At 43.9% G+C, this 26,507-nt stretch overlaps 1 long non-coding RNA gene across 2 annotated transcripts in view, besides 3 other annotated features; it reads right to left on the reverse strand.

The window, feature by feature from the left end:
* Positions 1-26,507, reverse strand: part of LOC105370003 (uncharacterized) — a 389,555-nt gene that overhangs the window by 177,310 nt on the left and 185,738 nt on the right. The gene's annotated exons all lie outside the window — the stretch shown is intronic.
* Positions 21,791-21,840: an enhancer, noted in NCBI's record as "active region_7086". NCBI's record gives its function as "activates an Ori minimal core promoter by ATAC-STARR-seq in GM12878 lymphoblastoid cells {active_cell/tissue: GM12878}" and the evidence as "EXISTENCE:reporter gene assay evidence [ECO:0000049][PMID:35858748]".
* Positions 21,911-22,000: an enhancer, noted in NCBI's record as "active region_7087". NCBI's record gives its function as "activates an Ori minimal core promoter by ATAC-STARR-seq in GM12878 lymphoblastoid cells {active_cell/tissue: GM12878}" and the evidence as "EXISTENCE:reporter gene assay evidence [ECO:0000049][PMID:35858748]".
* Positions 23,837-24,006: an enhancer, noted in NCBI's record as "experimental_24966 CRE fragment used in MPRA reporter constructs". NCBI's record gives its function as "activates a minimal promoter by MPRAs in K562 erythroleukemia cells, with activity observed for both the introgressed and non-introgressed 12:116012547 variant alleles {active_cell/tissue: K562}" and the evidence as "EXISTENCE:reporter gene assay evidence [ECO:0000049][PMID:34662402]".

Raw genomic sequence — 26,507 nt, forward strand, 5'->3', positions numbered from 1 at the left:
GAAATAAAGTAAAACATAATTAAATCAGATCCGGAAAAAGGGAAGTTATGAAAAAAATCAGTAAAAAGTAAAGCATTTGAAAAGAAATTAATTTTGATGTTTTCAGATACATAGTGGTAAGCTTATAAATTGTTAGGAAAAAAACTACAGTTTAATAAGCAAAATAGATTTGTTTTTCTTTTGAGACAGGGTTTCACTCCTGTCATCCTGGCTGGAGTACAGTGGAGTGATCTCGACTCACTGCAACCTCCGCCTCCCAAGGCGCAAGCAATTCTCCTGCCTCAGCCTCCCAAGCAGCTGAGATTACAGGCATGTGCCACCATGCCCAGCTAATTTTTGTATTTTTAGTAGAGATGGGGTTTCACCATGTAAGATTAATTAAAAAAAGAAAAAAAGACCATTCACACTAGGCTGCTTTGCAGACCAATGTATCAAGGATGACGTTCCAGGCTGGACTTTAGGTCTCTGAGTAGTTTGCAAGACACTTGGTTAGATTTTTTTTTTTTTTTTTTTGAGACAGAGTCTTGCTCTGTCACCCAGGCTGGAGTGCAGTGGCACGATCTCGGCTCACTGCAAGCTCCGCCTCCTGGGTTCATGCCATTCTCCTGCCTCAGTCTCCTGAGTAGCTGGGACCACAGGCGCCCGCCACCATGCCCGGCTAATTTTTTGTATTTTTAGTAGAGACAGGGTTTCACCTTGTTAGCCAGGATGGTCTTGATCTCCTGACCTCGTGATCCACCTGCCTCGGCCTCCCAAAGTGCTGGGATTACAGGCGTGAGCCACCGCGCCCAGCCTGATTTTTTTTTATTCTATAGAAACTCTACTCACTTCCTACCAGTAACATTTTTAAATCACGGTTTTGAATTAAGTACAATTCAATTGAAAAATCACAATAACACCAGTTTCAGAGTCTGTACAGTGGGGAAAATACTTTGTAAACAATGACTGTTGCTTCGTAAATGCCTGTGAGTAGCTCAGATACATTTGTCTTATGCTGACTGCCATTCAGTTGTTAAAAAGGTTCCAGAATCTATGCCAAAAACTGGAAAAGTAAGCCAAAGGGTGCAGCGGATATGCAAGTGAGCTTGTGTGGCCCTCATCATATTTTTAAAATTAGTTATCAGTACTTATTTAGTTTTATTTTTTTATTATTATTTTTTTAAACAGTTTTACTCTGTCACCCAGGCTGGAGTGCAGTGGTGCGATAGGCTCACTGCAACCTCTGCCTCCCAGGTTTAAGCAATTCTCCTGCCTCAGCCTCCCAAGTATCTGGGATTACAGGAGCCCGCCACCATGCCCAGCTAATTTTTGTATTTTTTGTAGAGATGAGGTTTTGCCATGTTAGCCAGGCTGGTCTCGAACTCCTGACCTCCAGTGATCCATCCGCTTTGGCCTCCCAAAATGCTGGGATTACAAGCATGAGACACTCCGTCTGGTCAGTTATCTATATTTACATATTAGAGGAGGTTCATTAAAATCCAGCTTTACAGCATCTAAACCCACATCCTCTTACGACAAATGCTGGCCAGAACTCAGTAAGGACTTCCCCTCCTTCCAGGGCATGTGGCTTCTGTTTCTCCAGGATTCAGTGCTCCCTGTTTATTCTGTGCCCAGCCTGTACCAGGCATTTACAGTACTTGCCTGGCTCCTACGGGCATGGGGTTGAGATTCCTACGCTGAAAATGATGACCACCAATTTCTTAAAATCCTATTGGTTGAAACAGAGATTTATTTACTCAAGTGACCTATAGGAAAAGTGAGGGTTTTTTTTGTTTTGTTTTGATTTTTTTTAATACAAAATGGAACCTGGGTTGGCCAGGTGCGGTGGCTCATGCCTGTAATCCCAGCACTTTGGGAGGCCAAGGCAGGTGGATCACTTGAGGTCATGAGTTCAAGACCCACCTGGCCAACATGGTGAAACCCCATCTCTACTAAAAATACAAAAATTAGATGGGTGTGGTGGCAGGTACCTGTAATCCCAGCTACTTGGAGGCTGAGACAGGAGAATCGCTTGAACCCAGGAGGTAGAGGCTGCAGTGAGCGGAGACTATGCCTCTGCACTCCAGCCTGGGCAACAAGAGTAAGACTCCATCTCAAAAAAAAAAAAGTGGTACCTCGAACCAATTAGCTGCCTTTTCTTTTGCTCTCTCCCCTCTCCCCAGGTCCCCAACCTCTCTATCATGCATCTCCACTTCTCTCTGTCTCTTGGCTATTTTTTCTCCTCTTATGAGGTCAATTTCTCCACAACATCAGTTGTCAGTGGCCCAAAATGGCCACTTTGATCTGACATCTATTTCCTGGTCTTTCAAGTTAGCTTTCACAGCTCCCCTGGCACAGTGTCTCATTGTCCCAAATCCGATTTGATGAAACAGGAATTGCATTGGCATCGTCATCTATTCAACGCAGGCCAGTCAATTTCTGGTCACAGTTGCTGGTCACTCAATGAATCAAGGTGTCTGGGGCCCTGCCCTAATAACAAGAGAATATTCTATGGCACAAAATATGGCCGCTCAGGGCACCAGGGATTCTAGGCAAGACACACTTCCTTCAAGGGTAGGCAGGACTTGACCACCTCCCAAAGCCCTCACCCCTGCACCAATAAAGCCACCAGCTTCCAAAACAAGGTCCCCAGTCTTAAGTGATTTGTCTCTCTGCTCCCACAAGGTGTGGCCTGACCAGGACCTGGCTTCCAGAGAGCAGAGTTATGGACAAAGGAGTCATACCTTTACTTGGCCACCGAGTCCTCTGCCACATGCACAAATGGAAGTAGTTAGTTTCTGTAATGAATTTGTAACGCTCCTTTGCTTGTTTCCTCTCAGTGCCTGATGGCCTTTCAAAACAGTGTGAATCCACTGAGAACCATAATTGTGCTGCTTGTTAGCCAATCTAGGCGTTCATGTCCACTGCATCCCCTGACCCAGACAAGCCGCTGTGCCTCCTCTGAAGTGGCCATAACAAATTTGCTTTATTGGCCTGAATTTGGGAACTCATGTTATTTGCCTTTGAGATAGAACAAAGAGACTCTCTATTTTCTCTGGCTCCTCCCACCTTTGAGATGGCCAAGAGCAGAGCATGTTTTCCAGGTTTCAGTTCACCCTGCAGAAACAAGGAGATTCTAGCAGTGTGAGAGGTAGACAGGTCTAATGGTTAAGTACACAGGACCCGCCTCGTATCCCAGCTCTGTCACATTCATGCTGTGTGGCTTTGGGCAAGTGGTTTCACCTCTCTGAACTCTACTTTCTTCATTGGTTCAGTAGGGAGAATAATACCTCCTTGGTTTGTTGAGAGGATGAAGTGAGAAATGTAAGCAGCCCACATGGCATGAGTTGATGTACAAATATTATTTATCTTTCTCTCCTCCTCAGCAAATATTTATGGACCACTTGAAATGTTCATAAGCTGGGTGCCATATGAAGAAAAGTTGAAGCAGCTTAGCATTCGTGTTGGGCCCCATGGCTCTGCCAATTTCTGGCTGTGTGTCTGGGCCAACTGACTTCACCTCTCTGAACCTCACCTTTGATGGATGATGGCAATGAAACCCACTTGTTAGGTTGGTCGTGACCATGTCTGCTATTTGCACCATCATGTTTCCCATCCCTGGCCAGAGCTAGGAATGTATCAGTTGACTCAATCTGTGTGAGGGCCTCAAAGTGTGGATGAAAATTTTCTAGGACAGAGAAAAGAGGATAGGTGTTTCTAGTGGAGAGGATAGGATGAGAAAAATCACAGAGGCAAATGTACCTGGTATCATAAAGAAATGCTGATGGGTCTGGCATCTTTAAGGCTGCAATTTGTTATCCTTTTTGGGGGAAGCTTAGCGATGGACTTTTGCAAAATCAGATAAAGCTGTCAGGACCTTCCCAGAGGTAGACACACAAGGTTTAGGTGTAGACTTTTAAGAAAAGTTGTCAAAGAAAAAATACAAGTGATTCAAACACCTACATGTTCAGGGGCAGGGGAGACAATGAAAAAACATAGTGTTTCAGAGAACCTATATGTAATGCTTCTTCCAAAAATGTAATAATTTGGGGAATTCTTTAAATTTTTTCCTCTAAATTCTTTAAATTTTACTGGCTGCAATGAAATGCAACCATGGGTGAGATTTCTCAGAAGAAAAACATACCATTGTTTCAAGTAGATAAGGAAAGCCATTTGGGCTGGCCTACCCTTGTTGAAATATAGGACTCACAGTGGCCTGGTCATGCTGCCTCTTTGTCGTGTTTGTCCCCTCTCGTTGCATTTGCAGAATTCATAGCTGTCCCTAGGTACTCTGCCTGGATAGGAAAAAAGATCACCGTCCACTATAGATTTAAGTACAAAACTGCAGCCTTTGTTGTGATGACCAAGTAAGGACTACCAATCCTACTGACCACTTCCGTGCTTCTCTGAGTTGAACAGAATACATTTGACCAATAAGGCTAGTTAAGAGTTCCACAATGAATGGTTGAAGCTGGAAGCAACATTAAGCTGGAAAGTGAGAAGGTAGTTCATGTGCTAATGGCAATTAATTTATGTATATATTTGTACTAATAATGTCAAATTAGACTGTGGTGGGCTAGCATGGAGTCACAACTGGCATTCAAATTGGTTACATCCTTGTGAACTGATTGTATTTCAAGATTCGAGCAATGATCAGCAAATAAACTTTTTCTACAATTTCTTGTATGCAAGCAGGACAGTTTTTACTTTATTAAAAAAAAAAAAAAAAAGATTTCCCACCCCCTCCCCCCGCCCAAGGGCTTTGCCTTCCCCCCAGGAGTGTCCCAGGTTGAGGTTTTGAAGCCAAGGACTATAACATGAGGCAGGAAGGATGGGCTGGAACTGTTTGCTGAGGACTTAGGCTTCATGGTGAAGGTGCAAGACCATGGGAGGTTTATATGGGGACAGCAGCCAGTAGTTGGGCTAGAATCTCTCTCCTTCTCTCTCTCAGTCTCTCTCTCTCTCTCTTTCTCAACCCACTTCTGTGGGCCTGAATGAAACCCAGAGTCCCTGATTGAACTTTATGGCTGACTATTTAAAAATACAATTTTACGGTCTTAAAATATCCCAACAATTAGGAACACTAAAACCTGGAAACCTACAAGCATCATAGCCACACGCTCTTGTAGCGAGTGTTCATTATTTCAGTATGTGTATTGATTTCCTGTGGCTGCCATAACAAAGTACCACAACCTGGGTGGCTTAAAACAACAGATATTTATTCTCTCACAGTTTTGGTGACCAGAAGTCCAAAATCAAGGTAATGGCAGGAACAGTTCCTTCCAGAGGCTTGGAGGAAGAATCTGTTCCATGCCTCTCTCCCAGTTTTTGTGGCTCCCAGCAATCCTTGACGTTCTTGGACTTGTAGATGCATCACTCCAAGCTCTGCCTCTGTCTTTACATTATCTTATTTTCTTTCTTAGTTCTTTCTTTCTTTCTTTTTCTTTTTTGAGACAGAGTCTCACTCTGTCACCCAGGCTGGAGTACAGTGGCACAATCCCAACTCATTGCAACCTCCACCTCCTGGGTTCAAGCGATTCTCCTGCCTCAGCCTCCGGAGTAGCTGGGATTACAGGCCTGCACCACCATGCTCAGCTAATTTTTGTATTTTTAGTAGAGAGGGGGTTTAACCATGTTGGCCAGGCTGGTCTTGAATTCCTGACCTCAGGTGATCCACCCACCTTGGCCTTCCAAAGTGCTGGGATTACAGGCGTGAGCCACCATGCCTGTCACTTTATTTTCTATGTATCTTACTGTGTCCAAATCTCCCTCTTCTTTCTCTTATAAAAATACTAGTCAATGGATTTAGGGCCTACTCTAAATGGATGATTTCATCTCAAGATCCATTTGCAAAAATCTCATTCCCAAATAAGGTCACATGCTGAGGTTCTAGGTGAATGTGAATTTTGGCGGGTGGGAGGACACAATTTAACCCACTATGGATGTATCCTTTCAGAAATTACATTACATAGACCTGCCTTTGTAGAGCAGATTTAAAAAAAGAAAGAAAGAAATTACATTATAGACAGAACTTAATATTTCTCATATTTAGTTCTTTACAAAAAAGATCATATTACACATCATGTCAAAGTCACACCGCTAGGAAGTGATAGAATCCAGACTCAAACTCATGCTTAGGGACCTGCATTCTCAGCAGCTGTGCTCCCCTGTCATTGTGTGCTATGAGAGGTTCTCTTCCTCCCTTTATGCTGGCCTCTTAGGTTGTGTCCAGTTTGGGCTCTAACATACAATGCTTTATGAATATCCCATACCTATAACTTTGTCCCGGTGTGTATTTTTGTTACATAAATTCCTAATGGTGCAATTGCTGGGTCAAAGGGTTTCACTCCTTAATGCCAGGTTCTGCAGGGCTAATTAAAACCCTATTGGTTGATCGGGGGGCCTCCCCCCAGCCCCATCAGTCTACCCAATCCTCAGCCCCCTTTTCCACAGAAGGAGGCAAAGGGAACTAATTTCCCACTTCCTGCAGCTGACAGAAGGTAGTCAGTATTTATGCCACAGACTGGGCTCAGGCAGAGGTCTTGTTTCCAGGAGAGAACAGGCTTCAGATTTGGACAATCTCAGCTCAAATCTTTGCTGTGCCTCTCACTAGCTGTGTGACCCTGGGTGAGTCACTCAACACCTCTGAGCTTTTATATCACTATATATGGCTCAGCGCGTTGGCTCACGCCTGCAATCCCATAATCCCAGAATTTTCGGAGGCCGAAGTGGGCAGATTACTTGAGGTCGGGAGTTTGAGACCAGCCTGACCAACATGGTGAAACCCCAGCGTTACTAAAAATACAAAAATTAGCCAGGCATGGCAGCACGCACCTGTAATCCCAGCTACTCAGGAGGCTGAGGCCCAAGAATCACTTGAACCTGGGAGGTAGAGGTTGTAGTGAGCCGAGATCTGCACTCTAGCCTGGGTGACAGAGTAAAACTCAATCAAAAAACAAAACAAAACAAAAAACAAACAAAAAACAAAACAACAGAAAAAAAAAGAAAGGAGGTCAAAATGTGTACCTACAGAATTGTTGGGACACTTGGAAAGAATGGATATAAAGTCCACAATGCAGTGTCCAACACTCAGGCTATTGCTTTTTCTCTGCTCTTATATTTACTTGAGGGTAATACATTTTTTCCCCAGGCCTCCCCACCCTTTCCTCTAACATTTGATGGAGAATGCTGAACCAGGCGCATGGGAGGAGATGCGCCAGGCTCTAGAACTGCCTTCCATGTGAATGCCTTTGGGTCCATTCAAACCCTTTCAAATTGAGACTCTCCACTTGAGATTCAACAGCTGAGGAGGTCAACTCACTGACAATGAAGGGCAAAGAGGACATTTATCCGGCTTAGCCTCAGCATAGCTATCAGGAAGCTAAAGGGTTCTCTCTCTCCCAGAGCTGGAATATTATGTTATCATTATCATTATCATTATCATGATAATTTTGACAGTGGTGATGGCATCAGGGAGCCGTTCTCACACTCACGCAGATAAAGGCATCACGGACCCAGTCTTGTAACTCTAGAGGAGCACTGTCCCCTCTGAGATTCCATTATTGGACTGGAGCCTGCAGTAGAAACATGTCTAATATTTACTTCATACCATAGAGGCTGCTTATTAAGCATCTGCTATGTGCCGGGCCTCATGCAAGATGCTAGACATTCAGCAAGCAAGACAGACGAAAACCCTCCCCTGGCACAGCTTAGAGACTGGCCAGGAGAAACAGACACGAGATAAGGGTTTGGTTTGGTTTTTCAGCACATGAAGACAAAATGTGATTTCTGCTACAAAGAGAACAGTGTGTTGTGTTTGAGAATAAAATAGCAAAATGTAGCAAAATGTGATTTCTGCTACAAAGAGAATAGTGTGTTGTGTTTGAGAATAAAATAAAGGGAAGGAGAATAGCAAAGGATAAGATCTGGGGATGCCCAGTGGATTGAAGGAGGCCTTAGAAAGCTGTGTGACGTTGGGCTAAGTCCTTACATCTCTTAGTCTGTTCCCTGCTATTTATTTACTTATTTATTATAGAGACCGGATCTCCCTCTGTCACCAAGCTGGAGTGCAGTGCAGTGGGATGATCACAGCTCATTGCAGCCTCAAACTCAAGTGATCCTTCCACCTCCGCCCCCTAAGTAACTGAGATTACAGTGTGTCTTTACAAAAAACTGAAAAAATTAGCCACCACATCTGACTAATTTTTTAAGTTTTTTTGTAAAGACAGGGTCTCCCTTTGTGGCCCACACTGGACTCAAACTTCTGGTTTAGAGTGATTCTCCTACCTCGGGCCTCCCAAAGTACTGGAATTACTGGTGTGAGCCACTGCTCCCAGCACCCCGCAGTCTAAATGAGAGGATCCATTAGTTGTATCCTGAGTTGCTGGGGTGGGAAATGACATCTCTTATGCAATGGTACCAGCACAGAGCCCACCCTATGGTTGCCTTTAAGTGGGACTAATTCCACTACATTGTCTGATTCTGGATTTAGGCTTCCAAACCCCTAAGCCCTTGGAACATTACAGTCTGTGCTGAACACTTGGGGTAAACAAAAGGAACCCCAATTTCCTATAACCTCAGGTAAGTGTTTCGGAGTTTGGAAAGTTCCCAAGTGGGCTTTCCAGAGCAAACCTTAACTTTGGGAAGAGATTCTACCTGACTTTTCTTTTTTTTCCTTAAATATTATATCCCAGCAACATGAGTGAAACAGTCCTTATTGCTTTTGTATTGTTGAATTTACTGTTGCTATGGTGACTGCTAATGATAGCGATGATGGTAATGATGATATTGAAGCCTGTCTGCCCAACCAATCTATTAAGCCTTCCCATATAGCATTTGTTACTATCATCTGCACGCTGCAGGCCTTAAAAAGGTTTTCATACTGCATATAGCATATGTAGAGCGTAATGCACTCCCAATTCCTTATTCTGTACAACATGTCAGTCTGAAATGACCTAAGTCAATGTTATTTGTAGAAACTTGTAAGTCACTTGAGGGAATCACTTAAAAAGAGAGAGGGAGGCAAAAATATTAACATAGATTTAGTAGATAGTCACAAGAATATGATCTACCAAGGGAAAGTGTTAGAAATTGTTGTTAATAAGCCTTTGTAGAAGAGACAGAATAAACATAAATCTACAGGAAAAATAAAACAAATCTATCGTAATGTGTAGCGAATACATGAGTGGGTTCTTGTGGGCTAGAATAACATCTCTCATGATGGTGTCATGCCGAGATGAGAAAAAGGACTGTGTCACCAACAACATAGATGGACGTGAAGGTGATCCATCAGGGCTACTAGGTGAGGCCTGAAAAAGCATCCTCAGTGATGAAAAAGACACCACTGTGAAGATGCGTGGGAAGAGTTCGAAGGAACAGTTTTTTGAAACGTGATGGGGGTGGGGGATGGCAAGGAAGTGATATTTGTAAATTAATGTATTGTGTTACATAGTAAGAAATCTATTTATTTATTTATTTCTATTTTTTATTTTTTATTTTTTATTTTCATTTTTTGAAACTGAGTCTCACTCTGTTACCCAGGCTGGAGTGCAGTGGCATAATCTCGGCTCACTGCAACATTTGCCTCCCAGGTTCAAGCGATTCTTATGCCTCAGCCTCCTGAGTAGCTGGGATTACAGGCGTGTGCCACCACGCCTGGCTAATTTTTGTGTTTTTAGTAGAGATGGGGTTTCAGCATTTTGGCCAGGCTGGTCTTGAACTCCTGGGCTCAAGCGATCCACCCTCTTCGGCCTTCCAAAATGATAGGATTACAGGTGTCAGCCACCATGCCCAGCCACGTAGTAAGAAATTTAAAATATAGTTTCTATAACTAATTAATAGATTAAATATTGCAAGACATTTGATTATTTCATCTTCTCATCCTTATAAACTGGGACATTTATTGTTTAAAAAATTGTAATTTCTTTAGGAAAATAGGTTGAGGCCTAATTGGCATCATCTACTTCATTTTTAAAGTCTAGGCAGAGCTGGGCATGCAGTGGGTAATAGTGAAGAGAATGAATGAATGAATGAATGAATGAATGAGTGAATGAATGGAAAATTTGACCACTCCCTGTAAGACACATCACCTCAAAGAGACTCAACTCCTAGCCATAGAGGAGATTCACTTTCATTTGGAATTAACTTAATCTTTGCATGTAGTTCTTGCCTTTCCCAGAATTTAGCACCCTAAATAGTCAAGAGGAAGCCAACTGGTCCCTCAGCCACAAGGCACTTGAACCTCAACTCCTCCAGAGCAGAGCAATCCAAGCTAGATGAATTCCAACCCCATCAAAGGAGCTTGGGGTTGCGCACAGACAAGGGTTTGGGGTGGGATTCTTGAAATCCTTTCTTTTTGGGAGAAACAAGTGCAACTCAAGTCTGGGATTGTCGTTTCAGATTCCCTTGATGACTTAGCACTGAGGCCTCAAAGGATGATGGAGCAAAGCAAGAGATAGAAAGGGAGGGAGAAGGTGAAAGCTTTCACAGGAAGGCAACTGGTAATAATCCAAGCTACTACTATGCACAGAGGCCTCACCTGTGCCAGGCACTGTGCCCAAGACTTTACCTGCACCATCTGGCCAAGACCATTAGCTTCATCCAATGGCAGAGCCAAGCTGTTGGGCAACACAGATCAAGGCCACACAGCCAGCCCAGGGAGGAGCAGGGGGTGCACCAGATCTACCTGTTTGCAAAGTCTGAGCTTTTAACAACAGTATTCAAACTGCTTCTAAAATTTTGAGCTGGCAACTGCAACAGCAATAACAAAATCAGTGAAACTAGCTAACCCATAGACTTACTGTAAGTCAGGTACTGTTCTAAAATGCTTTACATGCACTGGAAACACTATCATTATCCTCACTGTACAGATCAGGAAACTGAGGCACAAAGCGGTTAAGTTGCCCAATTCAGCCAGGAGCTAGGAACTTTCTCAGGACTGTCCCACTTTTAGTACTGAAAGCTAAGACCCTTCAGTCTCATGCTAACTAGGACAGTTGGTCGCCCAAGCCAGGAATAGGCCCCAGTCAATGTGGCACCGAAGGACATGCTGTTAACCAGCTCCTGACCCTGCTCCAGGAAGTGGCTAGGTGTAACTGTGATGTGCATGAGGTTTGCAGTCAGGACAAGTGCCAGGCTAGAGTCCAGACTTTGCTTTGTATTAGTTGGCGAGCCTCTAAAGCGTAGTTTTCCTTATCTGTAAAAATGGGAATAGTAGAATCTGTTTCATTGTGTTATTTGAAAGGCTCCCAGCAAGGTCATCCCTGCCGGGCCCAGGGCTGGACACAGGGTGGATGCCCAGCAATGATTAGATTGCATGGTCACCCCCATCATGGTAACAAAGATAATCGCATGTTACTCTGGATGAAACAATGTCAGCACAGGCAGGCAGGTGTGTTGAGAAAGGATTAATCTAAGCAACTGCTGAGGCAAAGGGAAGGGGAGCTGGTGTGACCCTTATGTCATACCAGATGCTGCCATCTCCCCTTCCAGATGCCAGATATCCTGGCGGGGCAGGCCCAGCTGCCTTGGAAAGGAGGCATCTGTGTTTCCCACTCGATCCTGTCTCCGAGGCTTCAGCATCAGCCTTAACCTCCAGAGCCCAAGGAAAGCTCCCCTGGCTTCCTCCCTCTTCCCTCTGCTATTTGTGGTCCTTGTGGTGTTCTAGGGACCAGTGATACTGTTCTTATCCATCACATATTCTCTTCCCAAACAATGGGAATAGGATGTTCAGCCCATCAAACCCCCGATTGTCTCACTCTCTCCCAGAATTGTAGGATGGAGAACCCTGCACAGCCTCAACATTCCATTGCTAACTCAACCAGCACCTACAACAAATTCTGCATTTCTTCACCTCTCATGCTATTCTGATTCCAGCTCTGTTGAAAGCCATCACTCAGTCATTCAACAAACGCTTAGGGAGGCACAATGAGTAAGTGTGTGCTCCCAAGCCAGGCTGCTCAAGGTCATGATGGCAGCTTCACTACTTACCAGCTGCTAGATCTGGGAGTCAAGTTCATTAGCCTCTCTGTACCTCAGTGGCCACATCTGAAAATGGGCTCAAAAATAATACTCATCAGATCATGTTGTATAAATCCTGGGAACAATGCCAGGTGAATAGTAAGTGCTTAATAAATGACACTAATCATTATTAGTTTTATTATAAATATTAATGTTACTATGTGTTGCACTTTCTAGAAGCAACCCTTTTATTATATCCTTGTTTCTGGGCCATGATGAATGTAAACACCCCCTAGGGAAAAAATATTACAAGGAGATGAGCATTAAGATTGAGAATCCAGAGGTGGTATAAACACAACTTCCTCTTGCTGTCATTGTCCACCCTGCCCAGAACTAGCTACAAGAGCATGTGACCAGTGCATTGGCACAGGGCCCTGCACTAGGAAGGCCCCATGCTTGAGGCTCATACCTTATGGCTAATGCTGAATCGAATGGTCTGTGTAAATCAAGTCCAGTGGACAAGGGAGCACACATGGTGCCTTGGATCCTGGGCTCATGAACTATCCCACCTCCCGCCACCTCATCCTTTTCCTGGGCTGGCTCCTTGGCCATCCTCTCCTCTGATTTCACCTCCACGTTCTCCTCCCTGCCCTGCCCAGCAGTCAGTTTAACTTCCACTCACAATGGGGCCTGAGTATGGAGAGTCAGGGTAGGAGCATGCACCTTGCTGCATGTCCACCTGGATCATGGTGACTGCCATCTCACTCTGGGCTGGCAGTACCACCCTCTGCCCAGCTGGAGACTGGCCAGAGGCTGCAATTCAATAGGGACAAGCCTCTCGTTTACACTGATTCAGGTATCTAGCACATCCTGGTGCAGAAGTTGCAGTACCCTTGAGGGTTACCCTTCCATCATGAGTTGGGGCTAATGGAAAGCAAGGATGGCAGGAGGGAAGAGAGGATGGCAGGAGGACCTAGCAGCCATCAGACCTGAATGAGCTTGTGCACACCCTGCATGGCAGGGTAGGGTTCCTGGATGCCTGGGAGAGCATGTACCGACCTAAGAATACCATGCCTGAGAAGCATGCCCTTGAACTGGCTCTGTCCCTAGTATGACCCTCTGTTCCTCCTTCCAACCTTCCCAAGTCTGGCTTATGTTGAACTCTTCTGGCCAGCTTCAGGCACTCTCCTGGAAGAAGCTACAATGCACAAATTGGGCAATTTTGGTGATTCTGCATCAGAGTGAAATGCCAGGTGCTCTGGTATCTGCATTTAAAACTGGCTTTGCAGAATCAAAATATGAATTCTAAAAAAAATTATTCTAATAATGTAACTTTTTTTTCTTTAGATAGAATGCATTTCCCTAGAATACCATGATAAGTCAAGAGAAAGACCACAGAAGAAAGGAAGTGGCTTTATATTTTTGTAACTTCAATAGCCCTTTTCCCTGCTTTTTGAGCAGGGACTCTGCATTTTCATTTTGCACTGAGTACCACAAATTATGTAGCCAGTCCTGCATCCACCGTACTGAGGAATTTTGAGGTGCAATTTTGCTAGCAGAATTTATATCTCCTCTCAGTGTTAACAAATATTCCCTTTCACGTAGAAGCAAAATGAGGAAAGAAAATGAAAAATGAGAGAAAGCAATGAGAAAGGAAGAAAACCTCTCCCTGCCACCAACATCATCCCGCTGCCTCCAGGGCTGGGAAACGGACTGTAACACTTGGACAAGTCAATTTACCTCTCGGAGGCTCAGTTTCCTCATGTGTCAAGTGGGCACAAGTATACAGTCTTTCTCATAGACACTTCAAAGGATTTAGTGAGATAGTGCTGAACTGGATGCTGTGCTTGGTATAAGTGCTAAATAAGTGGTATTTCTAGCCTTTACACTATAATGGTAATAACAGCAACAAGAAGAAGCAAATCTAGTTGTCGTAACGGTATAAACAGGTGCTAGGAGCCGATGAAAATTATTTTCTCTCCAGGCTCAACTTGTGAACGGATTCTTCTGCTTGTGAGGGATACAGGACCTTCCCTTATCTTTCTCTCATACCTTTTCTGTTGTTATTTCTTTTCTAGGTCACTTCCTTTGCTGTGCAGCTTTTGTTGCCCCACAGATTCCTGGCCCCAGCTAGTCTGGGTCACTTCTGTCTCAGGCTGTACCACTCAAATCCTGGCTTATAATTACAGCAACATTCGCCAAGCCCGCATGTCATCACATACCCTGGAGAGGCCAATGGCTGTGTTTTATGTCATTTCTGTATGATTATTACAACAACAAAGAAAGATACCATGAGAATACACCTGAATTTATGAATTAAGGCAAGGGATATTCACCAGGGTCAGGCACTGAGCTCTTGTTTATGGAAGACATTGACTCAGCAAATCCTTTTTATGGCTTCAGTAAAGAGCAAAACTGCAGTTCAGCTTTCAAGACTGCAAACTCTCAACTAGGAATGAATTTTCATCCTCCCTTCACATTTGTCCAGTCAGAAGACCAGGGTACTTAAGGCTCCCTCCTCCAATTCCTCTTCTTCCCTCGACAACTCAGAACCAGCCACGCTCACGTAACTAAAAATACATACGTCAAAGTGCCCAAAGGGGTGGACTCTCATTCACTGCTGGTGAGAGTATAAATTGATTCAACTTTTAGCGAGAGTAATGTGGGAGAGTAATTATTATAAATAGATTTGTTCAATTTCTGAGAGAGCGATTTGCCAGAATAGTTATCATAAGCCTCAACAATATCCAGACTCCTATAGATCCAACAATTTTGTAGCTAAGAAAATAATCTGAAAGAGAGGCAAGGGTGAATATACAACAATGTTCATTGTAATATTATGCTTAAGAGTTAAGAAGCAGAAACAATTGAATTGCTGATATCATGGACGTGCTGAGTCCATGTTCTGGTTATCTCTTGCTATACTAAAAAAAAAAAAATCCTCAAACTTACTGACTTAAAACAGTAAAAATTATAAATATTTTGAAACGAATCTTCCATGTGTGCAGGGTTGTATGGGAATGCCTCCTTCTGGTTCTCAGTAACTTGGTCCTCAGATGGGGTGACCCACAAAACTAAGGGCTGGAACCGCCTGAAGCCCTGGTCTCTTGACATAGTATTTCCAATATGGTGGCCTGAGGGGACTCTGACTTCTTCAGTGTGGCTCAGGACTTCATGAATTGTTTTAGAAAAAATGAATTGTTTCATTTTCTTCTTTATATTTTCCGAGTTGTCTAAGATTTTCACAGGCCATATTGGGCTGTGTTTGGCTCCCATGTGACTTTAAGAATGTTCATGTTCAAATCATCACTTCCAGCTTCTATGAAGAGTTCTGGCCACCCACAGAGCAGGAGGCTGGTGCAGTACTGACAAATCGACCCCTGTAGAGGGGTATAGACTCCTCAGTTTGTCTTGCCCCAGCTGGCTTGCCTTCCTGTATTTACAATCCCTGTCTGCCCTCTGGGGGCATTCGAGTTTGCAAGCCCCTAGTCCATATTTAGAACTGAAAAGCAAGAATGACAGCATCATGGGACAAATCTAGGGGAAAGCACATTGAGACAATTTGTGGAGAGAAAAATGGTGTCTTGGAAAAAAAGGGTACAACAGACACTCACCGGGGCTACTTGAGAGTGGAGAGGAGGAGGAGGGTGATGATTAAAAAACTACCTACTAGGTACTGTGCTTATTACATGAGTGACAAAATAATCTGTACACCCACCCACCCCCAACACACAATTTATGTGTAGAGCAAACCTACACATCTTCCCCTGAAACTAAAATAAAAGTTAAAAAAATAAAATTAGCAATATTTTCCTCTGAATTACTTCTGCCAGAAGCCCAAAAATCCACAAATAGACCCACTGTTACATACGGAAAATCTACTACCTACTCTTAATAGTCCCCAGTTTTAGGTTGTAATAAGACCAGTATTTTGCTGAATCTCTACTTTTTCTTAGTCAAAGCCAATTTATTCAAAGACTATCAGAAAACAAGATTTCAAAATAATTCTAAAGGCCTACATGTCATTATAGAAGTGTATGACTTTCCATGGGCCCTGAGACTTGAAATTGATAAATGTTTGTATTCATTTTCCAATGAAAACTATGGATTATATTAATACATCTTAAAAATACATGCAGTGTTCTGGAACCATTGTATAAAATACAATCTATTGGGAATATAAATATTTTCATAAATTCTATTATGAATGTAGTTTTTTTTTTTTTTCTAATGGTGTCTTGGATGTAAAACATCCATGATTTCCCTACACCTTGTGTAAGCTGGTCCTAATTCAAGTCAAGTCTCCCTCACAACCCCAGAGGATCTTTCCCACCTCACTCTTTCTCCCCAAAGCATATGGTAGGTAGCACATGGTAATGGGCCACTGGCATCACCAGCAATGCAAACAAGTCCAGAGAAAGGTTGAAGAGCCAGTGGAAGGGACAGAAATATGAGAAGAAAGATGGAGATTCTGACTCCAAGTAGGTGCCTTGGGTTGGGAAGAGGGAGAAAAAGAACAAAATCATCAGTAAAAGAAAAGGGTGAGAAATGGCCATTTCATGCCTTCTAGCAAGCAAGGTGAACCCTGGCCACCGTAACCACTCCCACTCTTGCTCATTTGCTAGCAACATGTGTTGCAGACACCCAGAGGAAGCCTGCAAGCCTCCTTCCAAATTACAGTTAACCCTTGAACAACATGTGAGGTTGGGGTGCTGACACTAAACACTGCATATAACTTTTAACTCCCCCAAAACTTAATGACTAATAGCCTACTGTTGACCAGAAGCCTTACTGAGAACAGAAACAGCTGGTTTTGTTAACACATATTTTGTATGTTATATGTATTATATACTGTATTCTTACAATCAAGTAAGCTAGAGAAAAGAAAATGTTATTTTAAAAAATCATAAAGGGGCCAGACGTGGTGGCTCATGCCTGTAATCCCAGCACTTTGACAGGCCAAGATGGGAGGGTCACTTGAGGCTAGGAGTTTGAGACCAGCGTGGACAACATAGTGAGACCTCGGTCTCTACAAAGAAAATGTAAAAAATTAGCCGAGTGCAGCGGTGCATGCCTGTGGTCCCAGCTACTTTGGAGGCTGAGATGGGAGTATAGCTTGAGCTATACTGCAGTGAGCCATGATCTCACCACTGTGCTCCAACCTGGGTGACAGAGCAAGACCATGCCTCAAAAAAAGAAAAAGGGAAAGAAAATCATAAGGAAGAGAAAATACATTTAGAGCACTGTACTGTATTCATCATTACCATAAGTTTATGTCATCTGTTTATAAGATGAATTGTCTGTCTGAAATGGCGGGCAATTGCAGCGGCAGACCGCAATCTAAGATACATAACAAGCAATTCAGCTTTTTCTTGTAACGTCATGACCTTCCTCTGCTTCTTATGAGCACTTCCAGCATCACTAGTGGCACTTCATATGGGTCCCGCTGTGTTTGTCAAGGTTTATGGTATTGCACTAAACATAAGGAAAAATACGTGAGAACCGGGAGAGATCACTTTTTATTGCAATCTGCAATTTACTGGAGAGAGGCACTGCTCACTTGGAGATGATGATTAGTGTTGCATAGCATTTTAGGTGGATACTTACAACACTTGAGCTCATTGCAATAGCAACAGAGGTGGCTACAAAATTATCCCAGTAGCAAAGTATGGGCTACAGTTAATTTTATGCAGTTATGACTTAATACTGTATCTTTATCTTTGTTTATATTTCTCTTGACTGTGAATGGCACCTTGTATGTTCTTTTTGTTTGCATAAGTTTTGATAAATTTTAACTTTTTGTAATAAACATTTATATTTTATGGTAGTAAATGATAAAAGAGACTAGTATCTACATATATTGTATGCATTGTTAACATATCTAACTTTTTCTTAATTTCTTTGATACTTAGGCTATGCAATTTTTCCGTGAGTTTTTTCAAGTTGCAACAAGTTTCCAAAATGTTTTTCAATATACTTATTGAAAATAATCAGTGTATAAATGGACCCATGATGTTCAAATCCATGTTTTTCAAAGGTCAACTATCTAGTCTTTTGAGTAACAACTTCATGATATTTACTATATGTACAAATCACCTACGCCATTTTCTATTCAATATTCATCTTTGTATTGATTTTAAGTTGAATTCTTTTTAAACTGAGTTTTGTTCTATGCACTCCCTCTGAGAAATCATGGCATTCATGGGTACTGTGCTACACACACACACACACACACACACACACACACACACACATACACACACACACGCACACACAATGAGGTGCTGGGTCTGGCCTGTACAGGCACAGGAAAGCCACTGTCAAGTTTTCAGAACTTTTGGTAGCTGTTTATTAACTGCAGCCATCATGAAAAATTAAATTATATGAACTTACAATTAAGTTATTCCAAAGAAAAAATGATAAATACTTAAAACTCACTGCTTCCTGATTATTTTATATTATTCTATTATCACTACACTTGAGGTTATTTTCATCTATTGTGTTTGTGTGGTGGAAATACTATATAATAATTTGCTAATCCACATTTCTTCCAAACTCTGCCTTTTGTGACATCACAGTGGCAGCCTGACATCTACTATGGTGGCAATATTTACACCATGGAACTTAGCAATTGCTATAGTTCACGATGTTTTCCCCTGGAGAGCTAATTGTTAAGCATTTACCAGCACACTGCACCTTTGCGTCGTTAGTAAAAATACAGTATGTGTTAGGATAATGTAGTAATATACATATATTTCAGAGTAAGCAGAACAAGATTAGCTGCAGACCAAGCCTGGCTGCAAATTTAAATATATGCATACATTTGAATATATGCATATATTTAAACATAGCAATATATTTAACTATATATTCAAATATATGTGCATATTTCTACAGTCTCTAAGAAGATCTTGGGTGCCACAGTTGGAGGATATGCAGTATTTTAACACTCACTAGCCCAACGGTCACTTGCTGGGGAAACTGAGACCCAGAAGAGACAGGTGAGTTTCTTGAGACCACGTGATGAGTTCAAGGCCATCCCCAGCTTCCCTGCATTTCCCTCTGCTCAATGCTGCCTCCCTCTGTGGCTGATGTCAAGTCTCATCACTGAAGCACAGTGTTCAGAAACAAGCAGAACAAGAGGGAGCAGCTCGAATGGAGGAGGCGGGGGTTGGGGGCTTGGGGGAGGAGCCAGGGGGCTAAAAGGGCTATTAGAAATTCACACAATTAATTAGACAATGCTGGGGACACAGCCGTCTGGATAACCCATTGATAAGGATGGCAGGGGGCCTATTCCCCAGTCCCCTTGCGGGTTACCGCAAGCAAAGCTCCACGATCCACCTCCCCCTCAATATCCAGCCCAAACCCGCTTAAATACTTGATGCAAAATTAAAGCCTGTTCCAACTTTTGTGAACACTGTACCAGTGTCTGCTGGCGCTGGGCGCCCACCACCCCCACCATTTCCCAAGGAGCCCCCGCCTCTGTCCTGCGCAGCCTCGTCCTCCATCAAGCAGAGTGCATTAGGACAATTAGCACCAGCCTACTGGCGCCAATTAGCAACCAATAGTGTCTATATTATGGAGAGGGGGCAGCAGGGGCGCCTGTGTCTCCAGCCGGCCTTCACACTCAATTACATTAAGTGGAGGCTCCGAGCTGCGGTCGGTGGGCAGTTGCTGGAGTAATTGTGTCTTCTCCGTTGCTGCAGGCGATCTTCTCCCGGCTCCCTGATCCCCGGACTGACTCCTCTCCTTGTCCGCTTACATCAGTATACACTCTTTCAAAAGGGAAGGGTGGGGGAGGGACGGAGGGGGAGAGGCGGCTACGGCGCCCAGAGAGGCAGGAAGAAAGTCATGGAGCTAAATCATGATATGAATCATTCATTCAGTCAACAAATACTCACGGAGTGTCTACTGTGTGCCTGACCTGTTTCTATAGTCAGGACCGGCTTCGTCATTGGCAGGGCTCAATGCAAAATGAAACCGTGAGACTCACTGCCCAAAACTTATTTAGTAGTTCAAAGTGGTGGCAACAGAGAGCACTGAGCCAAGTACAGGGTCCTTCTAGGCAGGCGTCCTTCTTAGCACAGGGGTCCTGTGTGACCACACAGGTCATGCATTTGGAAGGTGGATCTATCTGGGGCTTTGGGGTAGAGAAATGAACAAATCTGAACAAAAACATCTGCCAGTGAGGACTTCCCACCTTAATGGAAGAAGACAGTCGGTAAGTGATCAACAGAACAGATTAGGAGATTAGCTAGGTCTTTAAAAGGTGATGGATGCTATAGGAAAATGAAAAAAGTAGAACAGAGTAAGAGGGGTCAGGAGGTCCAAAGGGAGTGGGGCAAGGTACAGGATTAAGCTGAGTAATTGGAATATGTCTCATTGAGATTGGAGTAGAGGTTTGAAGGAGGTGAGAGAATGTGCCCTCTTCTTCTGGGAAAAGAGCCTTGTCGGTCAGGAAACAGCCAGTGCAAAGGCCCTGTGGCAGAGATCTATTTGCCATGTTTAAAAAGTGGCAAAGAGGCCAGTGTGGCTGGAGCAATGTAAGCAAGGAGGAGACCAGAAGGTAAAGGAGACCCCAAGAAATAAGAGAACTGGGGAGTGGATTGCATAGGGCCTCGATGACCATTGTGAAGATGTTGGCCTTTATTCTGAGTCACTCAGGAGCCACTGGAGAGCTATGAGCAAAGGAATGAATGATCAGTTATTTTTATTTTTATTTTTATTTTTAGAGACAGGGTCTCACTGTGGTGCCCAGGTTAGAGTGCAGTAGCACGATCATGGCTCACTGCAACCTCGACCTCCCAGGCTCAAGCAGTCCTCCCGCTTCAGTCTTCTAAATAGCCGGAACTACAGGTGTGCTCCACCTTGCCTGGCTAATTTTTGACATTTTTGTAGAAACGGGGTCTTGCTATGTTGCCCAGGCTCGTCTCAAATTTCTGGGCTTAAGCAATCCTCCCACCTCAGCCTCCCAAAGTGCTTGGATTACAGGTGCAAGCCGCTACACCTGGCCTCATACCTCCTCGTTTAAATGATGACTCTGAAAGCTATGTAGGGGCCAGAGGTGGGGCAATAAACATGGACACAGGGAAGCCCACGAAGCATCTAAAACAGGGGTTGGCAAACATTTTCTGGAAAGGGCCACATAGTAAATATTTTAGGCTTTGTGAACGATATGATCTCTGTCACAAATGCCCGGTACTGTTACTATAACACCAAGTCAGCCATATTCAGTGTGTGAATGAATGGGCAGGGCTGCATCCAAATGAAACTTCATGGATGCTGAAATTGGGGTTTCATATAATTGTTCTGTGTCATGAAATATCATTTTTCTTTTGCTTTTTTCCCAACCATTGAAAAATGTAAAAGCCATTCTTAATGTATGGCTGTGCAACAAAAGGGCAGCAAGCTAGATTTTTCCCAGGGGCTAGAGGTTACTGATCCCTGCTCTATGAAGTAACCCAGGGGAGAACAGGGTGGAAACAGGGAACAACACTCAAGTGGGGAGAGGGTAGATTCTGGATCTATTTTATGGTATAGCCAATAGGTCGACAGTGCAGTGTAAGAGAGAGATGCCAAAGATGACTCCCAAGGTTTGGGGTCTGAGCAACCAGAAAGATAGATTAACATCCATCCAACTGGAGAAGGCAGCAGGAGGTACCAATATGGGGAGGTGTGGGAGAGGATGATAATAGCCATAATAGCTATTGATTGCTTATGTAATTGGGCATTTAAGATGTGCTCAGCTCTTTATGAACACTGTTTCATTTAATCCTTACATAAACATATTTTGTAAGTTTGACTCCATTGACATCTCAGCCCATTTCATAGATGTGAACACTGAGTCTTATAAGAGCAAAGTATTTCTCTAAGATCTTCAGCTGGTAAGTTGCAGAAACAGGGGTTTCCCACTCAGGAGCCTGGGCTCTGCCGTATTACGCAACCCACACTGCTTTGGACATCTTACTCAAAGCAAGAAACTTTCAAACAGAAAGCAGAAGCCTTCCCAGGCCCAAGTTTTGGTTTTGGCTTTAACTTCAGTATTGGTTCAGGAGTATATGTTTCAACAAGCCCCTCCTCTTCCCCGTGCCGCAGTCTCCCTTGTCTTTTCAATGCGGCTCTGGGACCAGGACCTTCTCCAGGTTATTCTCTCATCTAACACACGCTGACATCATGATTACTCAGTTCTAAGCCAGGCAACCTGGGCAGGGAAGGTCCAACGGCCTTAGGAAAGAGTTAATTCTCTGTGAAATTACTGGGAATTATTTACATCTTTACACGGTGTTTTATATCTTTAAGTGCTTTCTGATTGCTTAGAAGCTAATCCCAGGTGGAGGCCAGAGGCCTAGGAGAAAGCCCTTGTCAAGTTGAAGCTGGAATCTGGAGGAGCTGAAGGAGTTGGCAGGCCTGACGCAGGCATCTGCTGGAAACGCAGGCTTCCCCACCCACCTCCCGCAGGCTCCCTCTCCCGAACCCCCAAAAACTGTTACCCAGTTACCTTACCACTGGCCTCCAGCCTCAGTAGCAACTAGGCGGGTGCCACATACCCCGTGTGTACCTGACCACATAAGGAGACAAGTGAACAGCAGCAAAATACCTCTTGCCCTTGGGAAGCATGCACTCTGGCTAGGGAATATGGGACTAACATATCCTAGAATCAGTTTCCAGGAGCTGCTATTGGTGGCCTAATGTAAAAAGTGGCCACGGAGCCATTCGGCATGTCATTCTTACTCTGGAGATACTCAGTGGTGGACGGCCACGTTTCTGCCAGCATGGGACTTTCTGCTAGTCTGTGCAATGGGTGGGCAAAAGACTCCAACTACATCTTTCCGGAAAGAGGACTTAAGCTCGGTTTTGAAGGGATTCCTTCATGGGCCAGCTCTTTCGCTGAGCCAGCCAGGGTGCCCAGGTCTCTGCTCCGCTGGAGAGTTGGAGGTCAACAGGAGTGTGCCTGTCCTTAGGAAGGATAGAGGGAAATACATTTATTAAGTGCAGAAGTAATTCCAGTTTTTACCATTACTTTTTAAGGCCAAAATTGCAATTACTTTGCACCAACCCAGTAATTCATGGCCCTCCCCAAGAGAAACTGTAAAAGAAAACTGAAAGTTGACTCAGCTAGAATTTGTAGATAGAACGTCAGCAACATTGGAGTATCTTTTGTGGGTCGAGGGGAGTGTGGCATGTAGGAAATAATAGGGAGGTTGAAAGGTCTTCAAGAATGGGATGTCCAGTCTCATATATCTCCACACCTAGATATTATTATATTCTTTCCTGGTGCCTGTGAGCATGTCTTCAACTCTCCAGACCCTCAGTCTCTCATCTGTAAAATGGAGATGAGAATCTCTCCTCCGAATGGGCCATTTGGATGAGAGAATAAAATAACAAAAGTGAGTAATAGTAGTCATTGCACCAATAGGAAGAGCTAACATTTATTGAGCACCTAGTACATGCCAGGAACTCTGCAATACTTCCCATGAGCTGTGTCATCAACTCTTCTCAGCCACCTTTTGAAGCAAGATTTTGTACCAGCCCTGTTATGCAGATGAAGAAACTGAGACGTAGCATAGTAAATGATTTGCCAAAGTTACTTGCCCAGTTTGTAAGGGCCACAGCCAGTATACGAACCCAAGCCTGATGTAAGAATACCGCAAAAGAAAGCACCTGAGTTTTTAAAAATCTCTTTTGGATAAACTCCTCATGAACTGTATTGACAGGCATCATCCTGACAAATGATGCCTTTATCATCTGCTTTTGCTGCAGGAGTAAGTGTAGCCTTTTGGGGAAATCAGTCAAAGCTTCTTTTTGCTTCTCAGTGAATTTGGGGCAGACAGAAAACAATCTCCATCCAGCACATTGTGGATATTTGTCAGCTGTGTTAGCTTTGGTCCTCCAAGATGTAGTTGCCAAAAAGATATGAAACTTACAAGGACATTTTTAGTGGAAAGATATGTGAGGGAAAACTGGGGAGGAGCTGGAAAGGTTGGGAGAGCTGTCAGCCTACAAATAAGTCCACCCTTGAGTGAAAGGGAAAGAGAAGGGAAGCTGAATAGCAGAGTGCTAGGCTCCCACGTCATCTAAGGAAGCTTCCGAAAGATTGTCATGGAGTTCTCCAGCCCGAGTCGGCCATCAGAGCAGTCCCAGGTCTCCCACAAATGCACCTGTCTAAGACTTCCTGCAGCTGGGAGCCATAGTGAGAAGCATGGTCTCCCTATAAATGCAGCCTTGGATTTCAGAGCAGCTGCCTGGCTCTCCCATGGTACAGGATCTACAAAATGCATTACCCTGACCGCTGCACCTGTCACTCCCTGCAGATGCCACATGTTTGAACACTCACAAGGAAACACAGAGAGCCAGAAGACAGTGAAATGAACGGGCTGTCATGTCCCCCAGCTACCACGGATTGGCTCAGTGAAGAGAGGCTGTGGTCACCTCTGCATGGTTTCCTGGTACAAACACAAATTTCCTTTCCTCTGGCTGCATTCCTAAAATTAATTAAATCTTGGCTCAAGAAGGCTTCTTCATGCCAGCAAGGTAGGCACCCAAGTAGGCCATGATTGGTCCCTTCTGACCATTTATCGAAGGGCAGCCTTCCAAAACTCAAGGCCAGATAAGTGATGCAGCAAGAGAGCCACACCCTACAACTTACCACCAGACCTCAATTTTTCCACATGAGAAATGGAATTTTTGCAACCAAAAGCACCCAGGAATTAGTGTCTAACAGAAAGCACTCAGTCCCAGCATCCCTGCCTACCCATTCCCAACCCCAAAGACTGGATCGCTGTGTGCATTTCTTTTCTTTTTCTTTTTCCTTTTTTTTTTTTCTTTGAGATGGAGTCTCGCTCTGTCACCCAAGCTGGAGTGCAATGGCGCAATCTTGGCTCTCACTGCAACCTCTGCCTCCCGGGTTCAAGTGATTCTCCTGCCTCAGCCTCCTGAGTAGCTGGGATTACAGGTGCCCACCACCACACTCGCCTTGCACATTTCTTTTGTAGGATATATGGCCACTGCTGAAAGGCAGTTTGTGCAATTATTTGTTAAGGATCAAATGGTGAAGATGTAGGCCCCTAGCGTGCTCCTGCCTGAGTTGGTATCCCAGCTGCGTCACTTAATCAGTCTGTGCCTCAGTGTCCTCTCCTGCCAAATGAGCATAATAGTAGCACCAGCCTTCTAGGGCTGTTGTGAAGATTAAATGGATTCACATAGATGAAGCCCAGGGATCTGATGGATACATTGTAAGATACATTAGAAGGAAACAGTAGCTGTTAGCTTTTTAAAATGGTTACTGTCTCCCGTTTGGAGATGGGGCTATTGAAAGGGAAAGACAGAGAAATCAAATAGGCAGCCCGTGATGAAATCTGCATAGGAATTCAGGTCTCTGTGGCTGGCATTTAACCTTCTCAAATTCTGGGTGGATCTTGGAGGTGTGCATGTTCCCGTGTTCGTTTCTCATTGTACTCTTTTATGCTCAGGGCCTCTCCATTTTCAAACTACAGGATCTGATCTCAGGGCTCTGGATTACCCAGAGGAAGGACAGGCTGAATGGGCACCTCCTTCTCCACGGGAAGAAGCCATGGATGCCTCATCCTCTGGCCCAGCCTAGGCTGGGAACCCTCCAGACCTACCCCATTTAGAGCCCCCAGGGGCCCCAGGCTCCTCCCTGCTCACATCTTCCTGCTAAGTCTTGGTCAAACTTATCTCCTCTGCCCTGTATTTTAATTTTTCAAAGTCCAGGTTTTTTCTCTGTCTTTCTCTCATTATTTAAGGCTCGGTCTGACCTTTCCCCCTCCACTGTCTTCCTTTCATTCAGCTTCCTATCCAAATACAAGCTTTCCACACACCCACAGACTCTGTGTTCTCAAGTCTGGACTCCCACACTTGTTCAGCTCATAACCAGCACGAGTACACATCCCATATAGGTATCTACTCTGCACCAATAGGCATACTGCATGCACCGTGTGCACATCTCCATGATCACCCATGCTGGCAATGTGTGCTAAACCCGTGCATGCCTGCCGAGCACACCCACAGAGTGAACACACATGGGCACACACATGCACATACATAAGAATGTCACTATAGTAGCTAACATTAATTGAATGTTTACTACATGCTAGGGACTTTTCTATGAAATACCTTCTCTAGTCCTCACCACAACTCATGAAAGAGGTAGGATAATCATCTCCATTTTACAGATGAGGAAACTGAGGCTCAGAAAGGTTAAGTAACTTGCCCAAGATCACACAGCTAGAAAGTGACAGAGGTGAGATATGAACTCAGACTCTCTAACACAGAGTCAGCAGATGATGGCCCAGGGTCCAAATATGACCAATCACCTGTTTTTGTAAATAAAACTTTATTAGAAAACAGCCCCGGTCCATTCATGTATATATTGTCTGCCTCTGCTTATGCTACAAGGGCAGGGTTGAAGAATAGTGACAGAGACTAGATGGTTCACAAAGCCAAACGTGTTTGCTATCTTGCACTTAATAGAAAAAGTCTGCTGAACCCTGGTCTAACTCCAGAGTCTCCCTCTTATTCACTGTACCTGATGGTAGTTTTCCTGGTAGAAT

This window comes from Homo sapiens, chromosome 12 (genome assembly GCF_000001405.40).
Source record: "Homo sapiens chromosome 12, GRCh38.p14 Primary Assembly".
In the NCBI taxonomy this organism is placed as follows: Eukaryota; Metazoa; Chordata; class Mammalia; order Primates; family Hominidae; genus Homo; species Homo sapiens.